This window comes from Homo sapiens, chromosome 20 (genome assembly GCF_000001405.40).
Source record: "Homo sapiens chromosome 20, GRCh38.p14 Primary Assembly".
NCBI classification, from domain to species: Eukaryota; Metazoa; Chordata; class Mammalia; order Primates; family Hominidae; genus Homo; species Homo sapiens.
The window spans coordinates 35714161-35732726 of record NC_000020.11 but is presented as its reverse complement, the minus strand read 5'-3'; the positions used below and the strand labels follow the sequence as shown (position 1 = coordinate 35732726).

General features: G+C 41.7%; 1 protein-coding gene and 1 non-coding gene across 18 annotated transcripts in view; one reads left to right on the top strand and one right to left on the bottom strand.

Annotated features, from left to right (window-relative positions):
* The window catches only part of RBM39 (RNA binding motif protein 39), a 40914-nt gene that overhangs the window by 9534 nt on the left and 12814 nt on the right, over window positions 1–18566 (top strand). For 13 of the 17 annotated variants that reach the window (NR_040723.2, NR_040724.2, NR_040722.2 and 10 more), the window contains 8 exons: window positions 592–786; window positions 3200–3265; window positions 3362–3415; window positions 7572–7689; window positions 8005–8157; window positions 10850–10987; window positions 15922–15987; window positions 18338–18542. Coding sequence is in view for 14 of the 17 variants with exons in the window: in NM_001323422.2 (NP_001310351.1) it covers window positions 592–786; window positions 3200–3265; window positions 3362–3415; window positions 7572–7689; window positions 8005–8157; window positions 10850–10987; window positions 15922–15987; window positions 18338–18542 (995 nt within the window). In the remaining 3 variants the exon portion in view is untranslated. The remainder of the gene's footprint in view (window positions 1–591; window positions 787–3199; window positions 3266–3361; window positions 3416–7571; window positions 7690–8004; window positions 8158–10849; window positions 10988–15921; window positions 15988–18337; window positions 18543–18566) is intronic. The other 4 variants (XM_017028138.3, NM_001242600.2, NM_001242599.2 and 1 more) reach the window with 2 other exon arrangements.
* Window positions 16157–16256, bottom strand: LOC124904980 (small nucleolar RNA U13). The gene has a single exon (XR_007067771.1). It is a non-coding gene; the product is annotated as a small nucleolar RNA U13 (small nucleolar RNA).

Sequence of the window (18566 nt, the reverse complement as noted above, 5' to 3'; positions counted from 1 at the left end):
TATTTGCCAACAAGCCCTTTTGCTTGTTAAAGCTATAGCTAACTCTCAGGAGATAATTGCAGTTCTACTCTTAGAGGATGGTGTCTTTCAAATAATGTCTTGTCTGCTGATTTTCAGTAATGTTAATATAAGGCAAAAGGGATATTGTTTACTATACGTAGCAATTTTTTTAGACAGAGTCTTACTCTGTCGCCCAGGCTGGAGTACCAGTGGCGGGATCTTGGCTCACTGCAACCTCCGCTTCCCGGGTTTGAGCAATTCTCCTGCCTTAGCCTCCCGAGTAGCTGGGACTACAGGCGCACGGTACTATGCCCGGCTAATTTTTGTATTTTTATTAGGGACGGGGTTTCACTACATTGGCCAGACTGGTCTTGAACTCCTGACCTTGTGATCTGCCTGCCTCGGCCTACCAAAGTGCTGAGATTACAGGATTTTTTTTTTTTTTTAAGTATGATTATGTACCATTGTATCATAGTAAAACTAGCCAAAGAAATTTATGAAAGGATGAAAAAATGATTCTGGCCATAAAAGGTAGTATATTTTGGTGGGTTCTTAAGCCAGCATGATAATGGCGAGTTTTTTTCTTCTCAGGAGGAAAAAAAGCAAGAGCAGAAGTCGTAGTCATGAACGAAAGAGAAGCAAAAGTAAGGAACGGAAGCGAAGTAGAGACAGAGAAAGGAAAAAGAGCAAAAGCCGTGAAAGAAAGCGAAGTAGAAGCAAAGAGAGGCGACGGAGCCGCTCAAGAAGTCGAGATCGAAGATTTAGAGGCCGCTACAGAAGTCCTTAGTATGTAACTATAGTTATGATTTTGGTTTGAGGGTTATTCTCTGGGTATTCAGATGGCAGTTTAACTTGAGTGATTTGAATTGTGAATTTTTATTTTTTTAATGATTGGTTAAAAAGTATTGAATTAAGGATATTGGCATTGAATACTAGTAAAGTGAAAATACAGTGCATAGACAAATAAGTAAAAATTTGCTTTTACTAGGCATACTGACTATTTTCTGTTAAACTATCAGAGTTTCTAAATTGTATGCCAGTCAACGCAAACTGGATGAAAGCACTAGAGTGCTTGAAAAAGATGACATTGTAGTGCCCAAATACCTAAGAAAGCTTAACAAGTGTCTGGGCTGTTACAGTATTTGCTAAATACATATTTACTTAAAATTGTAAAGTTCTGATGAATACTAAGTTACACATGTATAATTAGTTAACAGTAAATAAAAAGTCTGTCACCGTGGCTGTTTTCAGCTGAAATGTCAGGCCAGTTGTGAATTTGTTGTGTATGCTCATTGATAAAGATCCTTTTTTGGGCTCATCTGTATTTAAGGTTTGTTAATAATAATAAAAGGTATTCCAAACTAAAAGTGTTTTGAAGATTAGATCACTAGAAATTTGGATGTGGATATTTAAAGTTGGAAACAAATATATTATGGTTATTAAATAACTATATTAACCACCTACAATTCTAAGGATTGCATCTAGCAATCTTTAATGCTTTATGAGGTTAATTCCTCTTAATAAACACAGTGCTGTAAACTCTGGGATATATTAAAAATAACCCTTCTAACTTCTAAGATTTGAATGGTTAAGGATGGAATTCAAAGACAAACAGACCCGAATCACTTGGGCAAGATACTTAATCCCCTAAGCTAAGCATTTGTTTTCTAACCTTTTAAGGAGATAATAAGTTTCAGATAAGCTATTAATGAGTAATGAATGAGAAGAAAATGTAAAGTGCTCAGAGGACTTAATGGATTCATGAAATGTTTTGGCATTACATGAATTCCGATTCTGGCTCTTTTATCTTTAAAATAAAAAGAATTAAACTCCGTGATGCTGGTTTCCTCCAAGCTGCTTATTTCATTAACTTTTTAATAGCTGAAAATGGGACCACAATGCTATTTTAATTTCGAATGCTGTACAACATTAGGAACTTCTCTGCTTTTGTCCCATTTATCAAGATTCTGAGCATTTTTAAAATGGGATTATGTTAAATCTTTTTACCAGGATGAACTAAATAAGGGGAAAGGAATTAGCTTAATTCCTTTGAGTGATGGATACTTTGTTTGCTGGGATCATGGCTTAACTTTAATAAAAAATTACTTAGTTCTTAATGTTGGGTTTGAGGCTGTAACTCAGAATATTTTATAATTAAAGGGGAAAGAAAATAGCTTATAACTAATTACTTGAGAACTGTAATACATCCAGTAAATGATTCTCAGTCATCAGCATTAGTCTGAATTGCAAAGGGTCAAGTTAATATAAAGTGTTTTATTTGGAAATACTTGCATGTTGTAGGTAGGCATGGTGTTCATGAAAACTAATTCAAATGTGTGGATCACAGGCCACTATGTATTTATTTATTTCGCTGTTCTTCTGGAATAAGTTAGCAGGATGAGCACTAATGGACAACTGGCTAGTCCCTTTAAGTTAGCCTGGTCTTTAAAAAGTCACAAAAACTGTTACTACAGAATAATTACCTTTATGATCTTTGTGAAAACACTCTGTTAGTCCTGACAAGTCCTCACAAAATTTTTCTAGAGAATTGGTAAATTACCTTCACATGTTCACGATGGAATATTTTTGCAACAAACAACTGAAGTATGTAGTGTGTTAAGTGGTGTCATGCTGTCTTAAGAGTTACTGGTGAATGGGGAAATACCTAAGTTGCATGACTAAAGAATTCACTTTAGTTTTTAAAAGAAGTCTTTCAAAAAGAAGATGTATATGAAAATTGTATATGTACATGTACACACATAGATTCCCAAGAGAGGATCTGCAAAGATACACACCAAATTGTTAACCATAGTTACTGCTGGTGTGAGGGAAGTTCAGAGGGATTTATTTTTTATATATGTGTGTGTGTGTTTTTTTTTTTTTAATTCTCAAGACTGTATATATATATGTAGCTTACAAAGATATCTAAAGTCTGAAAATGGGTGTGTGCATTTTCAGAATCTAAAAATTTTGAGGCTGTAACCTTTGGTCTTGGCACCTCTCAGTGGTCCAGGATGGATAAATACAAGGGCAGCTTGCCTGGGAATAAAGTTAAGAGACAAGTATTTTTGTTTCCTCTTCATAACTGAGGTGGAAAAGCAGTAGCCTAAACAATGTTAGTCTTGCTGGAGAGCGCATGAATGCGATCTTAGCAAGACCCTAAACCTGTAACTAGTGTAATTTTGTGTTTCCTTTTTAGCTCCGGACCAAAATTTAACAGTGCCATCCGAGGAAAGATTGGGTTGCCTCATAGCATCAAATTAAGGTTTTTAAACATACTTCTGAATTGTTTAAATTGTTTTTCAAGGAACTAACATGCTGTACTTGTTTGGATAACTTCTGAAACTTTTTAACTTTGCAGCAGACGACGTTCCCGAAGCAAAAGTCCATTCAGAAAAGACAAGAGCCCTGTGAGGTAGTTTACTTCTTTAAAGCCTTTAGCTCTTAAAAAGCTTTTGCAGCTTATGGTACTGTTAAATTTGATGATATTTAGTAATTTGGACCATATTAAATCTTGCTTTTGCTTTCTTTTGCACTTCCAGTACTTTAAGGTCAAGTGAATTTCTACTGAGTTTTCAGTAGTTTTCACTTTAATTTCATATAATTAAAGCAACAGTTATATATTTATTTATTTATTTATTTATTTATTTTGAGACGGAGTCTCACTCAGTCACCCAGGATGGAGTGCAGTAGTGCAGTCTTGGCTTACTGCAACCTCCGCCTCCTGGGTTCAAGCAGTTCTTCTACCTCAGCCCTCCAAGTAGCTGGGATTACAGGCATGCACCACCATGCCTCGCTATTTTTTTATTTTAGTAGCGATGGGATTTCACCATGTTGGCTAGCCTAGTGTTGAGCTCCGGACCTCAGATGGTCCACCCACCTTGGCCTCTCAAAGTGGTAGGATTGCAGGTGTGAGCCAACACACCCGGCCACAAAAGTTATTTATTTATGAGATGGAGTCTCGCTCTGTCACCCAGGCTGGAGTGCAGTGGTGGGATCTCGGCTCACTGCAACCTCTGCCTCCTGGGTTCAAGTGATTCTCCTGCCTCAGCCTCCCGAGTAGCTGGGAGTACAGGCATGTGCCACAATGCCCGGCAAATTTTTGTATTTTAAGTAGAGACGGGGTTTCACCATGTTGGTCAGGCTGGTCTTGAACTCCTGAGCTCATGATCTGCCCTCCTCAGCCTCCCAAAGTGCTGGGATTACAGGCAGGAGCCACCACTCCCAGTCTAAAGTTATTTTAATGTAATCTTATTTTCCTATTTTAATTAAAATAAACTTTTTGCATTTATTATTTTTAATGGACATGTAATGATTATGTATATGGGTAATACAGTTACGTTTTGATACATGTATACAGTGTAATGATCAAATCGGGTAATTAGCTTATTCGTGTTAAATGTTTCTTTGTGTTGGCAACGTAGCAGTTATATCAAACTTTACACTTAACTTTGGAATTAATAAATAATGAGTTATTTGAAATAGCCTCGTGGAGAAGTAGTTGTAACAGTAAGTTTTACTATTTGGCTGTCCTGAGGAAAACTATTTCATCTCAGAAGTCTTAGTGATTTGAATTGTTACTCCTAGGTTCTTCAATGAAGTTTCCATGGATTATTTTACTCTTAAAAATAAGAATTGTAGGCCAGGCCCGGTGGCTCACGCGGGTAATCCCAGCACTTTGGGAGACTGAGGTGGGTGGATCCACAAGGTCAAGAGATCGAGACCAGCCTGGCTAACATGGTGAAACCCTGCCTCTACTAAAACTACAAAAATTAGGCCAGGCGTGGTGGTGGCTCACGCCTGTAATCCCAGCACTCTGGAAGGCCGAGGCAGGCGGATCACCTGAGGTCAGAAGTTCAAGACCAGCCTGGCCATGGTGAAACCCTGTCTGTACTAAAAAATACAAAAAATTAGCTGGGCGTGGTGGTGTGCACCTGTCATCCCAGCTACTCGGGAGGCTGAGGCAGGAGAATCGCTTGAACCCAAGAGGCGGAGGTTGCAGTGAGCCGAGATCGCGCCATTGCACTCCAGCCTGGGCAACAAGAGCGAAACTCTGTCTCAAAAAAAAAAAAAAAATACAAAAATTAGCTGGGCATGGTGGTGTGCACCTGTAGTCCCAGCTACTTGGGATGCTGAGGCAAGAGAATCACTTGAACCCAGGAGGCAAGGGTTGCAGTAAGCTGAGATTGCGCCACTGCTCTCCAGCCTGGTGACAGAGCAAGACTGTCTACAAAAAAAAAGGGAACTGTATTTGTTCAGTCTACGATTTCGGTTCAAGGAATATTTTGTCAGGTGGTAGCATTGTGGGTGTTTTTTTTTTTTTTTGAGACCCCCGGCTAGAAAGCATTTGCTTTTTTATTTTTATTTTTTATTTTTTGAGGTAGGGTTTCTCTTTGTCACCCAGGCTATAGTGCAGTGACGCAATCATGTCTCACTGCAGTTTCTAATGGCCGGTCATAAGCAATCCCACCCAGGTTAGCCTCCCGAGTAGCTGGGACTATAGGTGCAGCCACCATGCCCTGCTAATTTTTCTATTTTTTTTTTGTAGAGACAAGGTTTTGCCATGTTGCTCAGTTGGTCTGAAAATCCAGGGCCAAGCAATCTGCACGCTACTCCCGGCCTTAAAAGCTTTTGTGCCTGGCGTGGTGGCTCATGCCTGTAACAATAAGGTCAGGATATCGAGACCAGCCTGACCAACATGGTGAAACCCCATCTCTACTAATAAAGTACAAAAATTAGCCGGATGTAGTGGCGCGTGCGTGTAATCCCAGTTACTCGGGAAGAGAGGCAGGAGAATTGCTTGAACCCGTGAGATGGAGGTTGTGATGAGCCAAGATCACACCACTGCACTCCAGCCTGGGTGACAGCTAGACTGCGTTTCCAAAAAGAAAAAAAAGCTTTTGTGACAAATCTTACAGGTGGAGCGACCACCCCAACCCCCGTACATCCTGAGAGTGTCCAAAAAATGGAAAAGATCGTGTTTAGGCTTACATCTTAAAGGATGACTTACAACCTTAATTGATATTTTGTAACAGAGATGATGTTAATAGACACTGTATCTAAATTTGTAAAGTAGAATTTGTAGAATCATTTGGGGTTTCACTTCAAGTTTGCCATTTGTGATTGTCAAACTTAATTTGACTTTACAATTACATGGTTTTGTTGTAAAGAATCATCCATTACACTGATTTTGGATCAGTCTGGCATTTGTGATTGGTCTGGTGATATGTTTTATGACTATGATTAAACTGTCAGGCTTCTGGTTGACCCTTGTTTTAGAAAAATTACCCTTTTTGGGCCAGGCGTGGTGGCTGACGCCTACAATCCGAGTACTTTTGGAGGCCGAGGCGGGTGGATCACGAGATCAGGAGATCAAGACCATCCTGGCTAACACAGTGGAATCCCATGTCTACTAAAAATACAGAAAATTAGCCAGGCATGGTGGCACACACCTGTAGTCCCAGCTACTCGGGAGGCTGAGGCAGAAGAATTGCTTGAACCCTGGAGGCGGAGGTTGCAGTGAGCCGAGATTGCGCCACTGCACTCCAGCCTGAGTGACAGTGAGACTCCATCTCAAAAACAAAAAAAGAAAAGAAAAATTACTTTTTTTGAGATGGTAAGGCCAGTAGACTTCTGTGCTAATGCCATGTAAGATGTGATTACAAGAAACAGTAAACCTTAGTTTTTAGAAGGAATTGAGTTACATTGAATAGTTTTATGCGCATTTTTTGTCAATAGATCTTACTGAAAATGGGCTTGGGTTGGCCGGGTGCGGTGCCTCATGCCTGTAATCCCAGCACTTTGGGAGGCCGAGGCGGGCACATCACCTGAGATCAAAAGTTGGAGACCAGCCTGGCCAACATGGTGAAACCACATCTCTACTTAAAATACAAAAATTAGCTGGGTGTGGTGGCAGGCGCCTGTAGTCCCAGCTACTCAGGAGGCTGAGGCAGCAGAATTGCTTGAACTCAGGGAGGCGGAGGTTGTGGTGAGCCAAGATGGCGCCGTTGCACTCCAAGCCTGGGGGACAAGAACAAGACTTCCTCTGGAAAAAAAAAAAAAAAAAAAAGAAAATGGGTTTGGGAATTATGACAAACCAGTTTCACAGCTTACTCTGTTTACTGAACATGTTTGAGAATTATTTTAGGCCAGGCGTAGTGGCTCACACCTGTTATCCCACCACTTTGGGAGGCCAAGGCAGGCGGATCATCTGAGGTCAGGAGTTCGAGACCAGCCTAGTTAACATGGTGAAATGCCGTAGCTATGGGGGAGTTTAGGGCAAAAGGATTGCTTGAGATCAGTAGTTCAAGACCAACTTGTGCAGCATAGCAAGACCTGGTTTCTAAAGATGGAAATATTGTTGTGGAGTTGGGAAAGGAGTGAGGGTACAGTATATACTGCTCAGGTGACAGGTACACTAAAATCTCAGAATTCACCATTAAAGAACTCATCTATGTAACCAAAACCCACCTGTACCTGAAAACCTGTTGAACTATATGAAGAAATAAAAAAGATAAAAATTATTTTAAAATCTGTTATGAAATTAATTTTATATGTTTTACTCCTATTAGAGAACCTATTGATAATTTAACTCCTGAGGAAAGAGATGCAAGGACAGTCTTCTGTATGCAGCTGGCGGCAAGAATTCGACCAAGGGATTTGGAAGAGTTTTTCTCTACAGTAGGAAAGGTAATCTTAACCTGTTTAGGGAGGTCAAGTAGGTAGAAATTGCAAGAGAAAACATGTAAACATCAAATACTTCATTTGATTTAGTAGCAGTATTTGTTTGTGGTAATGTTTCCATTTTGCCTCTTGTAGTATTGGAGTTGATAAATGTTACTACAAATTTGTTCAAAGATAAAGATAGGATATAGGAATTGTCCTACAGATTTACTTTTTTAATTAAATTTTTAAAAATACCTTCATCCTTCAACAGTGTCTCTTGAAATAATTCTACATGTGTTACAATGGATGTTTGCACAAACAACTGTGTTTTCTTTCTAGGTTCGAGATGTGAGGATGATTTCTGACAGAAATTCAAGACGTTCCAAAGGAATTGCTTATGTGGAGTTCGTCGATGTTAGCTCAGTGCCTCTAGCAATAGGATTAACTGGCCAACGAGTTTTAGGCGTGCCAATCATAGTACAGGCATCACAGGTAATTTTTTTGTTGGTTAAGAGTTTGATTATTGGTGGTGTTGAAAGCCTCCTGTTGCATGGTATAGTGCTGTTGTGTTCTGTGACTGCTGCTCATTACGTTGAGTCGGATGTTTTCAGGACTTTTTTTTTTTTTTTAACTTTGCGTTTATTAACATTGATACAGTTTTCTCAAGACTGTCGTCCTGTCGTTTCTCCTTGTGTTTGAAATGTAATGATTTTGCCTTTTTTTTGTTTTGTTTTTGAGATGGAGTCTCTCTCACCAGGCTGGAGTGCAATGGCATGATCGCTGCTCACTGCAACCTCCACCTCCTGGGTTCAAGCGATTCTCCTGCCTCAGCCTCCTGAGTAGCTGGGATTACAGGAGCCTGCCACCACGTTCGGCTACTTTTTGTGTTTTTAGTAGAGATGGGGTTTCATCATGTTGGCCAGGCTAGTATTGAACTCCTGACCTCAGGTGATCCACCTGCCCCAGCCTTCCAAAGTGCTGAGATTACAGTTGTGAGCCACCACACCTGGCCTTGTTTTTGAGATAGGGTCTCACTTCTGTTGCCAGGGCTGGAGTGCAGTGAGATAATCACAGCTCACTGTAGCCTTGACCTGCTGGGCTCAAGCAGTCTTTTCTCCCCAGTCTCCTGAGTAGCTAGGTCTACAGGTGCGTGCCACCACTCCCAGCTAATTTTTAAATTTTTTTAAGAAACAGGGTCTTGCCATGTTGCTCAGGCTGGTTTCAAACTGTCATGCTCAAGTGATCCTCTGGCCTGGGCCTCCTGAAGTGTTAGGATCACTTGAGCCGCACAGCGCTTTGACAGCATTTAATATTTTAGTATTTTGGCTGGGCGCGATGGCTCATGCCTGTAATCCCAGCACTTTGGGAGGTTGAGGCGGGCGGATCACCTGAGGTCAGGAGTTCGAGACCAGCCTGGCCAACATGGTGAAACCTTGTCTCTACTAAAATGCAAAAATTAGCTGGGCATGGTGTCAGGCACTTGTAATCCCAGCTACTCAGGAGGCCGAGGCAGGAGAATTGCTTAAACCCAGGAGGCAGAGGTTGCAGTGAGGCAAGATCACGCCATTGCACTGCAGCCTGGGCGACAAGAACCAAGACTGTGTCTCAAAAAGAAAAAAGAGTTACTCAAATTATTTCCTATGTTGGAAGACAAACTTAGTGGCTGGGTGTGCATTGGCGGGACCCAGGGCTGAGAAGTAGCATATTAAGTGAGGTTTTAAATTCATGCAGCAACCTGTTGTAGAGCAGTACTATCCAATGTACTCTAGTTTGTTACAAGAGAAGCCTGTGTTAGAATGCAAATGGACAACTTTTCTTTTTTTTTTTTTTTGAGGCGATCTTGGTTATGGAGGGATGACAGCTGACTCAAAATGTTTGCTTGGTGATACAGTTTTATGTTATGGCATATACACCTTATTTTATCACAAACAACTACGTTCGGTTATACCAATCTCAAGAGTATTTTAGTGAATGTTGGTTGTGTCTAACAATTCCAGGAAGCATTTTTCTCTGTATTTAGTATTTGTGGTATCAGAATGCATCTTAAGATTGTTGTCAAGAATGTAGGTTCATGATTCATTTTAGGTGTGAAATGTAGCCTGCTTACTTTTTTTTTTTTTTTTCTCTTGAGACGGAGTCTCGCTCTGTCGCCCAGGCTGTAGTGCAGTGGGGCGATCTTGGCTCACTGCAAGCTCCGTCTCCTGGGTTCACGCCATTCTCCTGCCTGAGTCTCTCAAGTAGCTGAGACTACAGGTGCCTGCCACCACGCCCGGCTAATTTTTTTGTATTTTTAGTAGAGACGGGGTTTCACTGTGTTAACCAGGATGGTCTTGATCTCCTGACCTCGTGATCCGTCCGCCTCGGCCTCCCAAAGTGCTAGGATTACAGGCGTGAGACACTGCACCCGGCCAGCCTGCTTACTTTATATGTGACTGGCATGTGCTCTGAAAACATTCTAAAATAAGCAGGGTATGATGTGGGGTGTGCTGTAGTCCCTGGCAGTCTCTAGTGGATGAGAAGGAAGGATGATCACTTAAGTTTAGGAGTTCAAGACCAGCTTGGGCAACATAGTGTGAGACTGTCTCAAAAAAAAAAAAAAAAAAGCCTCTAAATAAACTTTTTATTTTTATTTTTTTTTTTATTTTTATTTTTTTTGAGACTGAGTCTCACTCTGTCACCCAGGCTGGAGTGCAGTGGTGTGATCTCGTCTCACTGCAAGCTCTGCCTCCTGGGTTCATGCCATTCTCCTGCCTCAGCCTCCTGAGTAGCTGGGACTACAGGTGCCCACCACCGCACCCGGCTAATTTTTTCTATATTTGGTAGAGATGGTGTTTCACTGTGTTAGCCAGTATGGTCTTGATCTCTTGATGTCGTGATCTGGCTGCTTTAGCCTACTAAAGTGCTGGGATTACAGGTGTGAGCCATCGTGCCCAGCCAAAAACTGTACTCTTGAAGCTGTAACTCCCTAATTTCCTGCAGGCCCTTGGTAAAATGTTATCTACCTCCTCTTTCTGAATTTTGCATATTCTAGATGCCTCCTATTAAGTTGATATGTAGTATCTGACTTACGTAGGGTAGTATTTTTATCACTCTAAACTTTAACATTAGTTGTTATGCAAATGGAAGGTGTATGTCTTTAAACTGCTGTGTGTTATCTCTGTGTGACGTGTATTTTGTCTTCTAGGCAGAAAAAAACAGAGCTGCAGCAATGGCAAACAATTTACAAAAGGGAAGTGCTGGACCTATGAGGCTTTATGTGGGCTCATTACACTTCAACATAACTGAAGATATGCTTCGTGGGATCTTTGAGCCTTTTGGAAGAGTAAGTCCAGGTTCTTCAATGAATCTTCAGTAGGTTGTTGATCTGAGTATAACTACATAATTTCTGTATGTCTTGCTTTGTTATCTTTCTGTGAGTTAATATTAAGAGGATAAGGGCTGGTTTTATAAAAATTTCTGTGACAACATAGATTAAAATAGGTCACTTGATAGATTCTTAAAAGAATGTTACTGTTATTCATAATGCCATGTGAAATGCATAATGGGTATTAGAGTTAATAAAAAGTCCACATTGGCTGGGCATGGTGGCTCATGCCTGTAATCCCAGCTACTTGGGGTGCTGAGGCAGGAGGATGACATTAGCCCAGGATTTCAAGGTTGCAGTGAGCCATGATTATGCCACTTCACTCCACCTTGGGTAACAGTGTGATCCTGTGTCAAAAGAAGGAAAATTGTTAAATCATACGAAGACTATTATTTTTTAGTAGGATTTTTTTTAAAAGATTGTTTTTAAAAGAAAGTTGAATATCTTAAGATTCTTTTCTGTTGGCCGGGTGCGGTGGCTCACACCTGTAACCCCAGCATTTTGGGAGGGAGGCCGAGGTGGGCAGATTATGAGATCAAGACCATCCTGGCCAACATGGTAAAACCACGTCTCTGTTAAAAATACAAAAATTAGCTGGGCGTGTTGGTGCGTCTCTGTGTTCCCAGCTACTCGGGAGGCCGAGGCAGCAGAATTTCTCCCTTGAATATAGGAGGCAGAGGTTGCAGTGAGCTGGGATGGCACCACTGCACTCCAGCCTGGCCTGGCGAGACCCTTACCTTTAAAAAGACATTACTCTGTCTCCCTGGTTATGTGCTCAGTTCCAGGCCTTGGTAGCCTGATTAGATTTGCCCTTTTTCTGTCTGTTGAAATCTTCAGTGGGTGAATGCCCCTCTGGCAAGGCTGTTCTGCCTAACAGTATGTGACCCACTTCTGATCCACTCTGGTACTTTCTCCATTGACTTTTTGAGACAGAGTCTTATTCTGCTGCCCAGGCTGGAGTGCAGTGGCACAATCTCGCCTCGCTGCAAACTCCTCCTCTCTGTGTTCAAGCGATTCTCTTGCTTTAGCCTTCCGAGTAGTTGGGTTTACAGGTGCCTGCCATCATGCTCGACTAATTTTTTTTTTTTTTTTTAGAGACAGGGCTTTACCATGTTGGCCAAGTTGGTCTCATACTCCTGACCTCAGGTGATCTGCTTCGGCCTCCTAAAGTGCTGGGATTACAGGTGTGAGCCACTGGACCTGGCCTCCATTGACTTTTCTATCAGTAACATGGATCTTAGGTGGAGGTTGACATGCCATTATGTGCTATATGGAGAAATGAAGTTCAGAGCAGTTGGGGCCACATGAGCTGTTACATGGCAAAGTGAGGAACCAACTTGATCTGCTTCACAGGCGCCACGAGGCCTTGTGTCTGGCATTGTGGTCTTGAGCTCAATTCAGAGCAGCTTGGCTTTTGTTCTAGAGGACTTTGTGCTATCTACCTAAACCAAGAGTGTCCAACTAGTTCTGTGTTGAGGAGAGAAAGTTGCCAAGACTGTCCTGTCACTGTGAGGAATGAACCTTTTCCACTCAATAATTTTAGCAAAAGGCATAAATTTAAAAGGAGCTAGATAGAACAAATAAAATTTAACTTTTAAAAATATATTCACTGGCCAGGTGCAGTGGCTCACACCTGTAATCCCATCTCTTTGTTTGGGAGGCCGAGGCAAGTGGATCGCTTGAGGTCAGGAGTTTGAGACCAGCTTGGCCAACGTGGTAAAACCTTGTCTCTACTAAAAATAGAAAAATTAGGTGGGTGTGGTGGCGCATCCCTCTAATCCCAGCTACTTAAGAGGCTGAGGCAGGAGAGTCACTTGAACCCGGGTGGCAGAGATTGCAGTGAGCCGAGATCACGCCTGGATAACAGAGCCAGAGTGTCTCCGAAAGAAAAGAAAAAGAATAATCATGGATATTTGAGAAATCTGTGTACCATATAAAAATTAACATCAGGAAACAGTTGATATTTAAATTATTTTTATTACTCTAGAGTCTGATTTGTCAAACTATTTCTTAAATTTTGAGATGGGAGTTTCACTCCTTGCGCCTAGGCTGGAGTGCAGTGGTGCAGTCTCGGCTCACTGCAACCTCCGCCTCCCAGGTTCAATTGATTCTCCTGCCTCAGCCTCCTGAGTAGCTGGGATTACAGGCTCTGACCACAACGCCCAGCTAATTTTTGGTGTGTTGGTCAGGTTGGTCTCGAACTCTTGACCTCAGGTGATCTACCCGCCTCGGTGTCCCAAAGTGTTGTCATTACAGGCGTGAGCCACTGCGCCCAGACCCATTTTAGGTTTTCAGTGCCATATGGTCTTGTTGCAAGTACTCAACTCTCTTCCAAACAGCTGTAAGCTATTAAGAAATTGAGTATGGGCCAGGCACAGTGGCTCATGCCTGTGATCCCTGCACTTTTGGGGGCCGAGTCGGGTGGATCACTTGAGGTGAGGAGTTCGAGACCAGTCTGGCCAGCATGGTGAAACCTCTTCTCTACTAAAAATATAAAAATTAGCCGGTCTTGGGTGGCATATGCCTGTAGTTCCAGCTTACTCTGGAGGCTCAGACAGGAGAAAGATTTATAAAACAAGTCAAGCTGGAGTTGGTTCATGGGGTATATGTAGTTTGCTTACCTTTGCCCCAGAACAATTAGTATGCATTAAGTGCCCAACTCCAGTAAACATAATGTAGCAGCTTTAATAAGAAGCCCTTTTTAAAGGTTTATTTTATTATTTTTTTTGGAGTCTGAGTCCTGCGCTGTCACCCAGGCTGGAGTGCGATAGCTCACTGCAACCTCTGCCTCCCAGGTTCAAGCAATTCTTCTACAGCTTCCCTAGCAGCTGGGATTATAGGTGCATGCCGCCATGCCTGGCTTTTTTTTTTTTTTTTTTTTTTTGAGATGGAGTATTGCTCTTGTTGCCCAGGCTGGAGTGCAATGGCATGATCTCAGCTCACCATAACCCCCATCTCCCAGGTTCAAGCGATTCTCCTGCCTCAGCCTCCCAAGTAGCTGGGATTACAGGCATGCGGCACCACACCCTGCTAATTTTGTATTTTTAGTAGAGACAGGGTTTTTCTCCATGTTGGTCAGGCTGGTCTCAAACTCCTGACCTCTGGTGATTCGCCCTCCTCGGCCTCCCAAAGTGGTGGGATTACAGGCATGAGTCACGGAGCCCAACCTACTTTTTTGTGTTTTAGTAGAGACAGGGTTTCACCGTGGTGCCCAGGCTGGTCTCGAACTCCTGAGCTCAGATAGTCTGCCCATGTCAGCTCACACCTACAGGTGGGAGCCACCGAGCCCAGCCTAAATGTTTATATTGTTTACTTTTTGCTAGCTAATGCTCCTAGAATATCTTATCCCTATCATAGTCCCACTTCATCCACGACTACTCCTTTTCTAGAGGCAGCCCTTACCCGTTTTTTTTTTGTTTTGTTTTGTTTTTTATATCCTTCCATAGACTTTCTGTGGCTTAGCAAATACTAGCAAATAAACTTTGTTTCTTTTTTAAAATTTTGGTAAAATATACTTAACATTAAAAGTTCGTTCCTTGGGCTGGGCGCAGTGGCTCATGCCTGTAATCCCAGCACTTTGGGAGGCCGAGGCGGGTGGATCACGAGGTCAGGAGATCAAGACCATCCTGGCAAACTCGGTGAAACCCCGTCTATACTAAAAATACAAAAAATTTAGCTGGGCGTGGTGGTGGGTGCCTGTAGTCCCAGCTACTTGGGAGGCTGAGGCAGGAGAATGGTGTGAACCCGGGAGGCAGAGCTCGCAGTGAGCCAAGATCACACCACTGCACTCCAGCCTGCGCCACAGAGCGAGACTCCGTCTCAAAAAAAAAAAAAGTTCCTTTCTTGTTTGAGACAGAGTCTCCCTCTGTGACTGAGGCTGGAGTGCAACAGCATGATGCAAGCTCACTGTGTAGCGTCCACCTCCTTAACATGCGATCCTCCTGCCTCCCAAAGTGCTCGGATTACAGACCTGAGCCAACCCACCTGGCTGGATGCTCTGTTTTAATTTTTCATACCTTTTTTTAAATGGACAGCTAAATCAGGAGATTGTGTTACAGTTCACTGATTGAACGTAAACTCAATGGTTTTTAGTTAGTACAATTCACAGAATTGTGCAGTTATTGCCAAATTCATTGTATATTGCCAAATTCATTCCATTTTTACGATTCTGTCTGGTATAATTGGAAATTACTGCTTGGTGTTTTTAGCACAATGGGAAGGAAACGTTGATTTTGTTTCTACCTTCTATTGGTAATTTACGAAGGATTTCTGGTTTTCAGTGGTTTAGTATTGATATAAAAATTAATCTTAGGTTACAATCATAGTTTTTTTTTCTCCCCTCTGCTCCCCAGTGCATAATTTCTCGCTTGGGAAGTTTCTAGAGTTTGTTTTTTTTTTTTGTTTTTGTTTTGTTTTTTGAGACCAAGTCTCGCTCTGTTGTCCAGGCTGGAGTACAGTGGCGTGCTCTGGGGTCATTGCAACCTCTGCCTCCCGGGTTCAAGCAATTCTTCTGCTTCAGCATTCCAAGTAGCTGGGCGTACAGGCATGCGCCACCAAGCCCAGACAATTTTTGTATTTTTGGTGGAGACCTGATTTCGTCATGTTGGCCAGGCTGGTCCCAAACTCCTGACCTCAGGTGATCCGCCTCCCTCAACCTCCCAAAATGCTGGGATTACAGGCGCCGACCACCACGCCCAGCCTAATTTTTTTCATTTTACATATAAAATTATAGTTTCTAGACTTAAAAAAGACTTCTTGGTGATGAGGTTTTGTGATAAGTCTTCTATTTTGGAGGATGAGGAGACTGGTAGATTTTTAAAACCATGTCTCAGGGAAGAAAGTAGTTTTGTACTCTGCTTTTAAGTTATAGTAATTATGCTTTTCAATTATAGATTGAAAGTATCCAGCTGATGATGGACAGTGAAACTGGTCGATCCAAGGGATATGGATTTATTACAGTAAGTAATTACCATAATTATATTACTTAGGGTTTTTTTTTTTTTAAACTACATTTGCTGTGTTGCTCAGATTAGTCTCTAGCTCCTGGCCTTAAATGATGTCCCACCTTAGCCTTCCAAACTGCTGGGATTACAGGACTGAGCCTCTGTGTCCGATCAAAAAAGTTTTTTTCACAACAAAGGGTAATATGCCCTTGTAACAAAAGGCAGGCACAGCTCACACATGAATGTGAAAACCAAATCATCACACTTAGGTACTCCTAAAATTTTTTGATCCAAGTTGCATAGTAGAAGTACAATAATAGTTAATAATGGTGGGGAAGGTGGCATGTTTAATATTTTCAAGTGCTTTAAATTAGTTTTTGTGGCCGGGCGCGGTGGCTTATGCCTGTAATCCCAGCACTTTGGGAGGCCGAGGCGGGTGGATCACCTGAGATTAGGAGTTTGAGACCAGCCTGGCCAACATGGCGAAACCCCGTCTCTAGTAAAAATACAAAAATTAGCCAAGCATGGTGGTGCTCAACTGTAATCCCACCTACTTGTGAGGCTGAGGCAGGAGAATTGCTTGAACCCAGGATATGGAGATTGCAGTGAGCCAAGATTGTGCTATTGCGCTGCAGTGCTCCAGCCTGGGCAACAGAGTAAGACTCTGCCTTGAAAAAAAATAAAACTATAAATAAATAAATATAAAATAATTTAAGAAAATAGGTTTATTAGGTTCTGCAGGCCATGCAAACATGACACTAACAGCTGCTCAGAGTCTGTGGTGGCCTCAGGAAGCTGTTACTTGTGCTTCGCAAAGCCTTTACTTGTTATTGCTTGGAGGAGCAGGTGTGTCACTTGGAGAGAGGGAGAGGAAGAGAGAGGAAGACATCCTGTGAAGTAACAGAGCAAGGACCCTCGCCTATTAGCAGGGGGAGTGCACCAAGCCATTCATGAGGGATCTGCCTTGTCATACCTCTTGCCAAGTCACACTTTCCACAGTGGGGATCACATTTCAACCTGAGGTTTAGAGGGGACAAGGATCCAAATTATATTACTGTGTTCCTATTTTCCTTTACTATGTGCTATATATACATATAGGGGTCAGCCAGCTATTCATATAATTGAATGTTTTATACGTTCATCTCTGATAACCTTTTGACACATTCTTAACAGTTAAATAAATGAAGGTCTGTTAACGATTCTTTTTTACTAAAGATCCTTTTTTTAATGTACATACCTCACAACCAAGACCAGAATTGTCTTGTCAAAAGTGTTTTTGGGCTGTGTGTGGTGGCTCACGCCTGTGATGCCAGCACTTTGGGAGGCTGAGAGCGGTAGATCACCTGAGGTCAGGAGATCAAGACCATCCTGGCCAACATGGTGCAACCTTGTCTCTACTAAAAATATAAAAAATTAACCGGGCGTGGTGGCGGGCGCCTATAATCCTAGCATCTAGGGAGGATGAGGAAGAATTGCCTAAACCTAGGAGGCAGAGGTTGCAATGAGCCGAGATGGTGCCACTCATGTATATGAAACTCATCCATGGTGGAACTTTTTTCAGATGTGTGAGCTCTGTAACCTTTTAAGGTCCTGGAAACATAGTATTTTTAAAAGTACACTGTATATCTCTATCAGGAAATTAAAATTGTTAGCTTATATCTACATTTCAATAAAATGTAAGCCTGTTGCTATGTTGATAGCAAATCTGTTTAACTTACTGGTCATTAGGCTGTTACGTACGTCAATGAACTGGTGAAAGGAGAAAATTTATGAAACATAGCTCACCAATTTTATTTTTTTATTCTAGTAACTTTAGTGTGGATATTTTCCACCTTTTCTTTTTCTCCAGATAAGCCATTGTGGGTATATGTGTAAACCAAAATTTTATATATATGTAATTTATATCAAGTTATGTATTTATTTGCTTGTGTATGAAGTATTTATGTTTTATATATGAGGATTATATTGACTATTTTGTCCCTGGGCACATTTTTGTTAGAAAAGTACTAAATTCTACCTCAGGTGGTCTGCCTGCCTCGGCCTCTCCAAGTGTTGAGATTACAGGTGTGAGCCACTGCACCCAGCCAGTTTTCACATTTTCTAACCACAATCCCCATGTTCTCAAATATAAAGCTGTCATTACTTGTAATATCTTTTATTTAAACTACCACATCAACAAGCCTAATTTGCGTTAGCTAGCGTCGTCATCATGTATGTTGTGTTTGCTACTTACAGCTTGCAGTTTCTACCTTAGTATTCAGAAGTAATTATTGAATATGCTAAAAATATAAATATATTTTTAAGTATAGTTTGTATTTTAAAAATTAAAGCACTGTCTCCTGTCCTTGCCTCCCCTATCATGTAGTTTTCTGACTCAGAATGTGCCAAAAAGGCTTTGGAACAACTTAATGGATTTGAACTAGCAGGAAGACCAATGAAAGTTGGTCATGTTACTGAACGTACTGATGCTTCGAGTGCTAGTTCATTTTTGGACAGTGATGAACTGGAAAGGACTGGAATTGATTTGGGAACAACTGGTCGTCTTCAGTTAATGGCAAGACTTGCAGAGGGTAAGTGTTTCTTGCTATTACGAA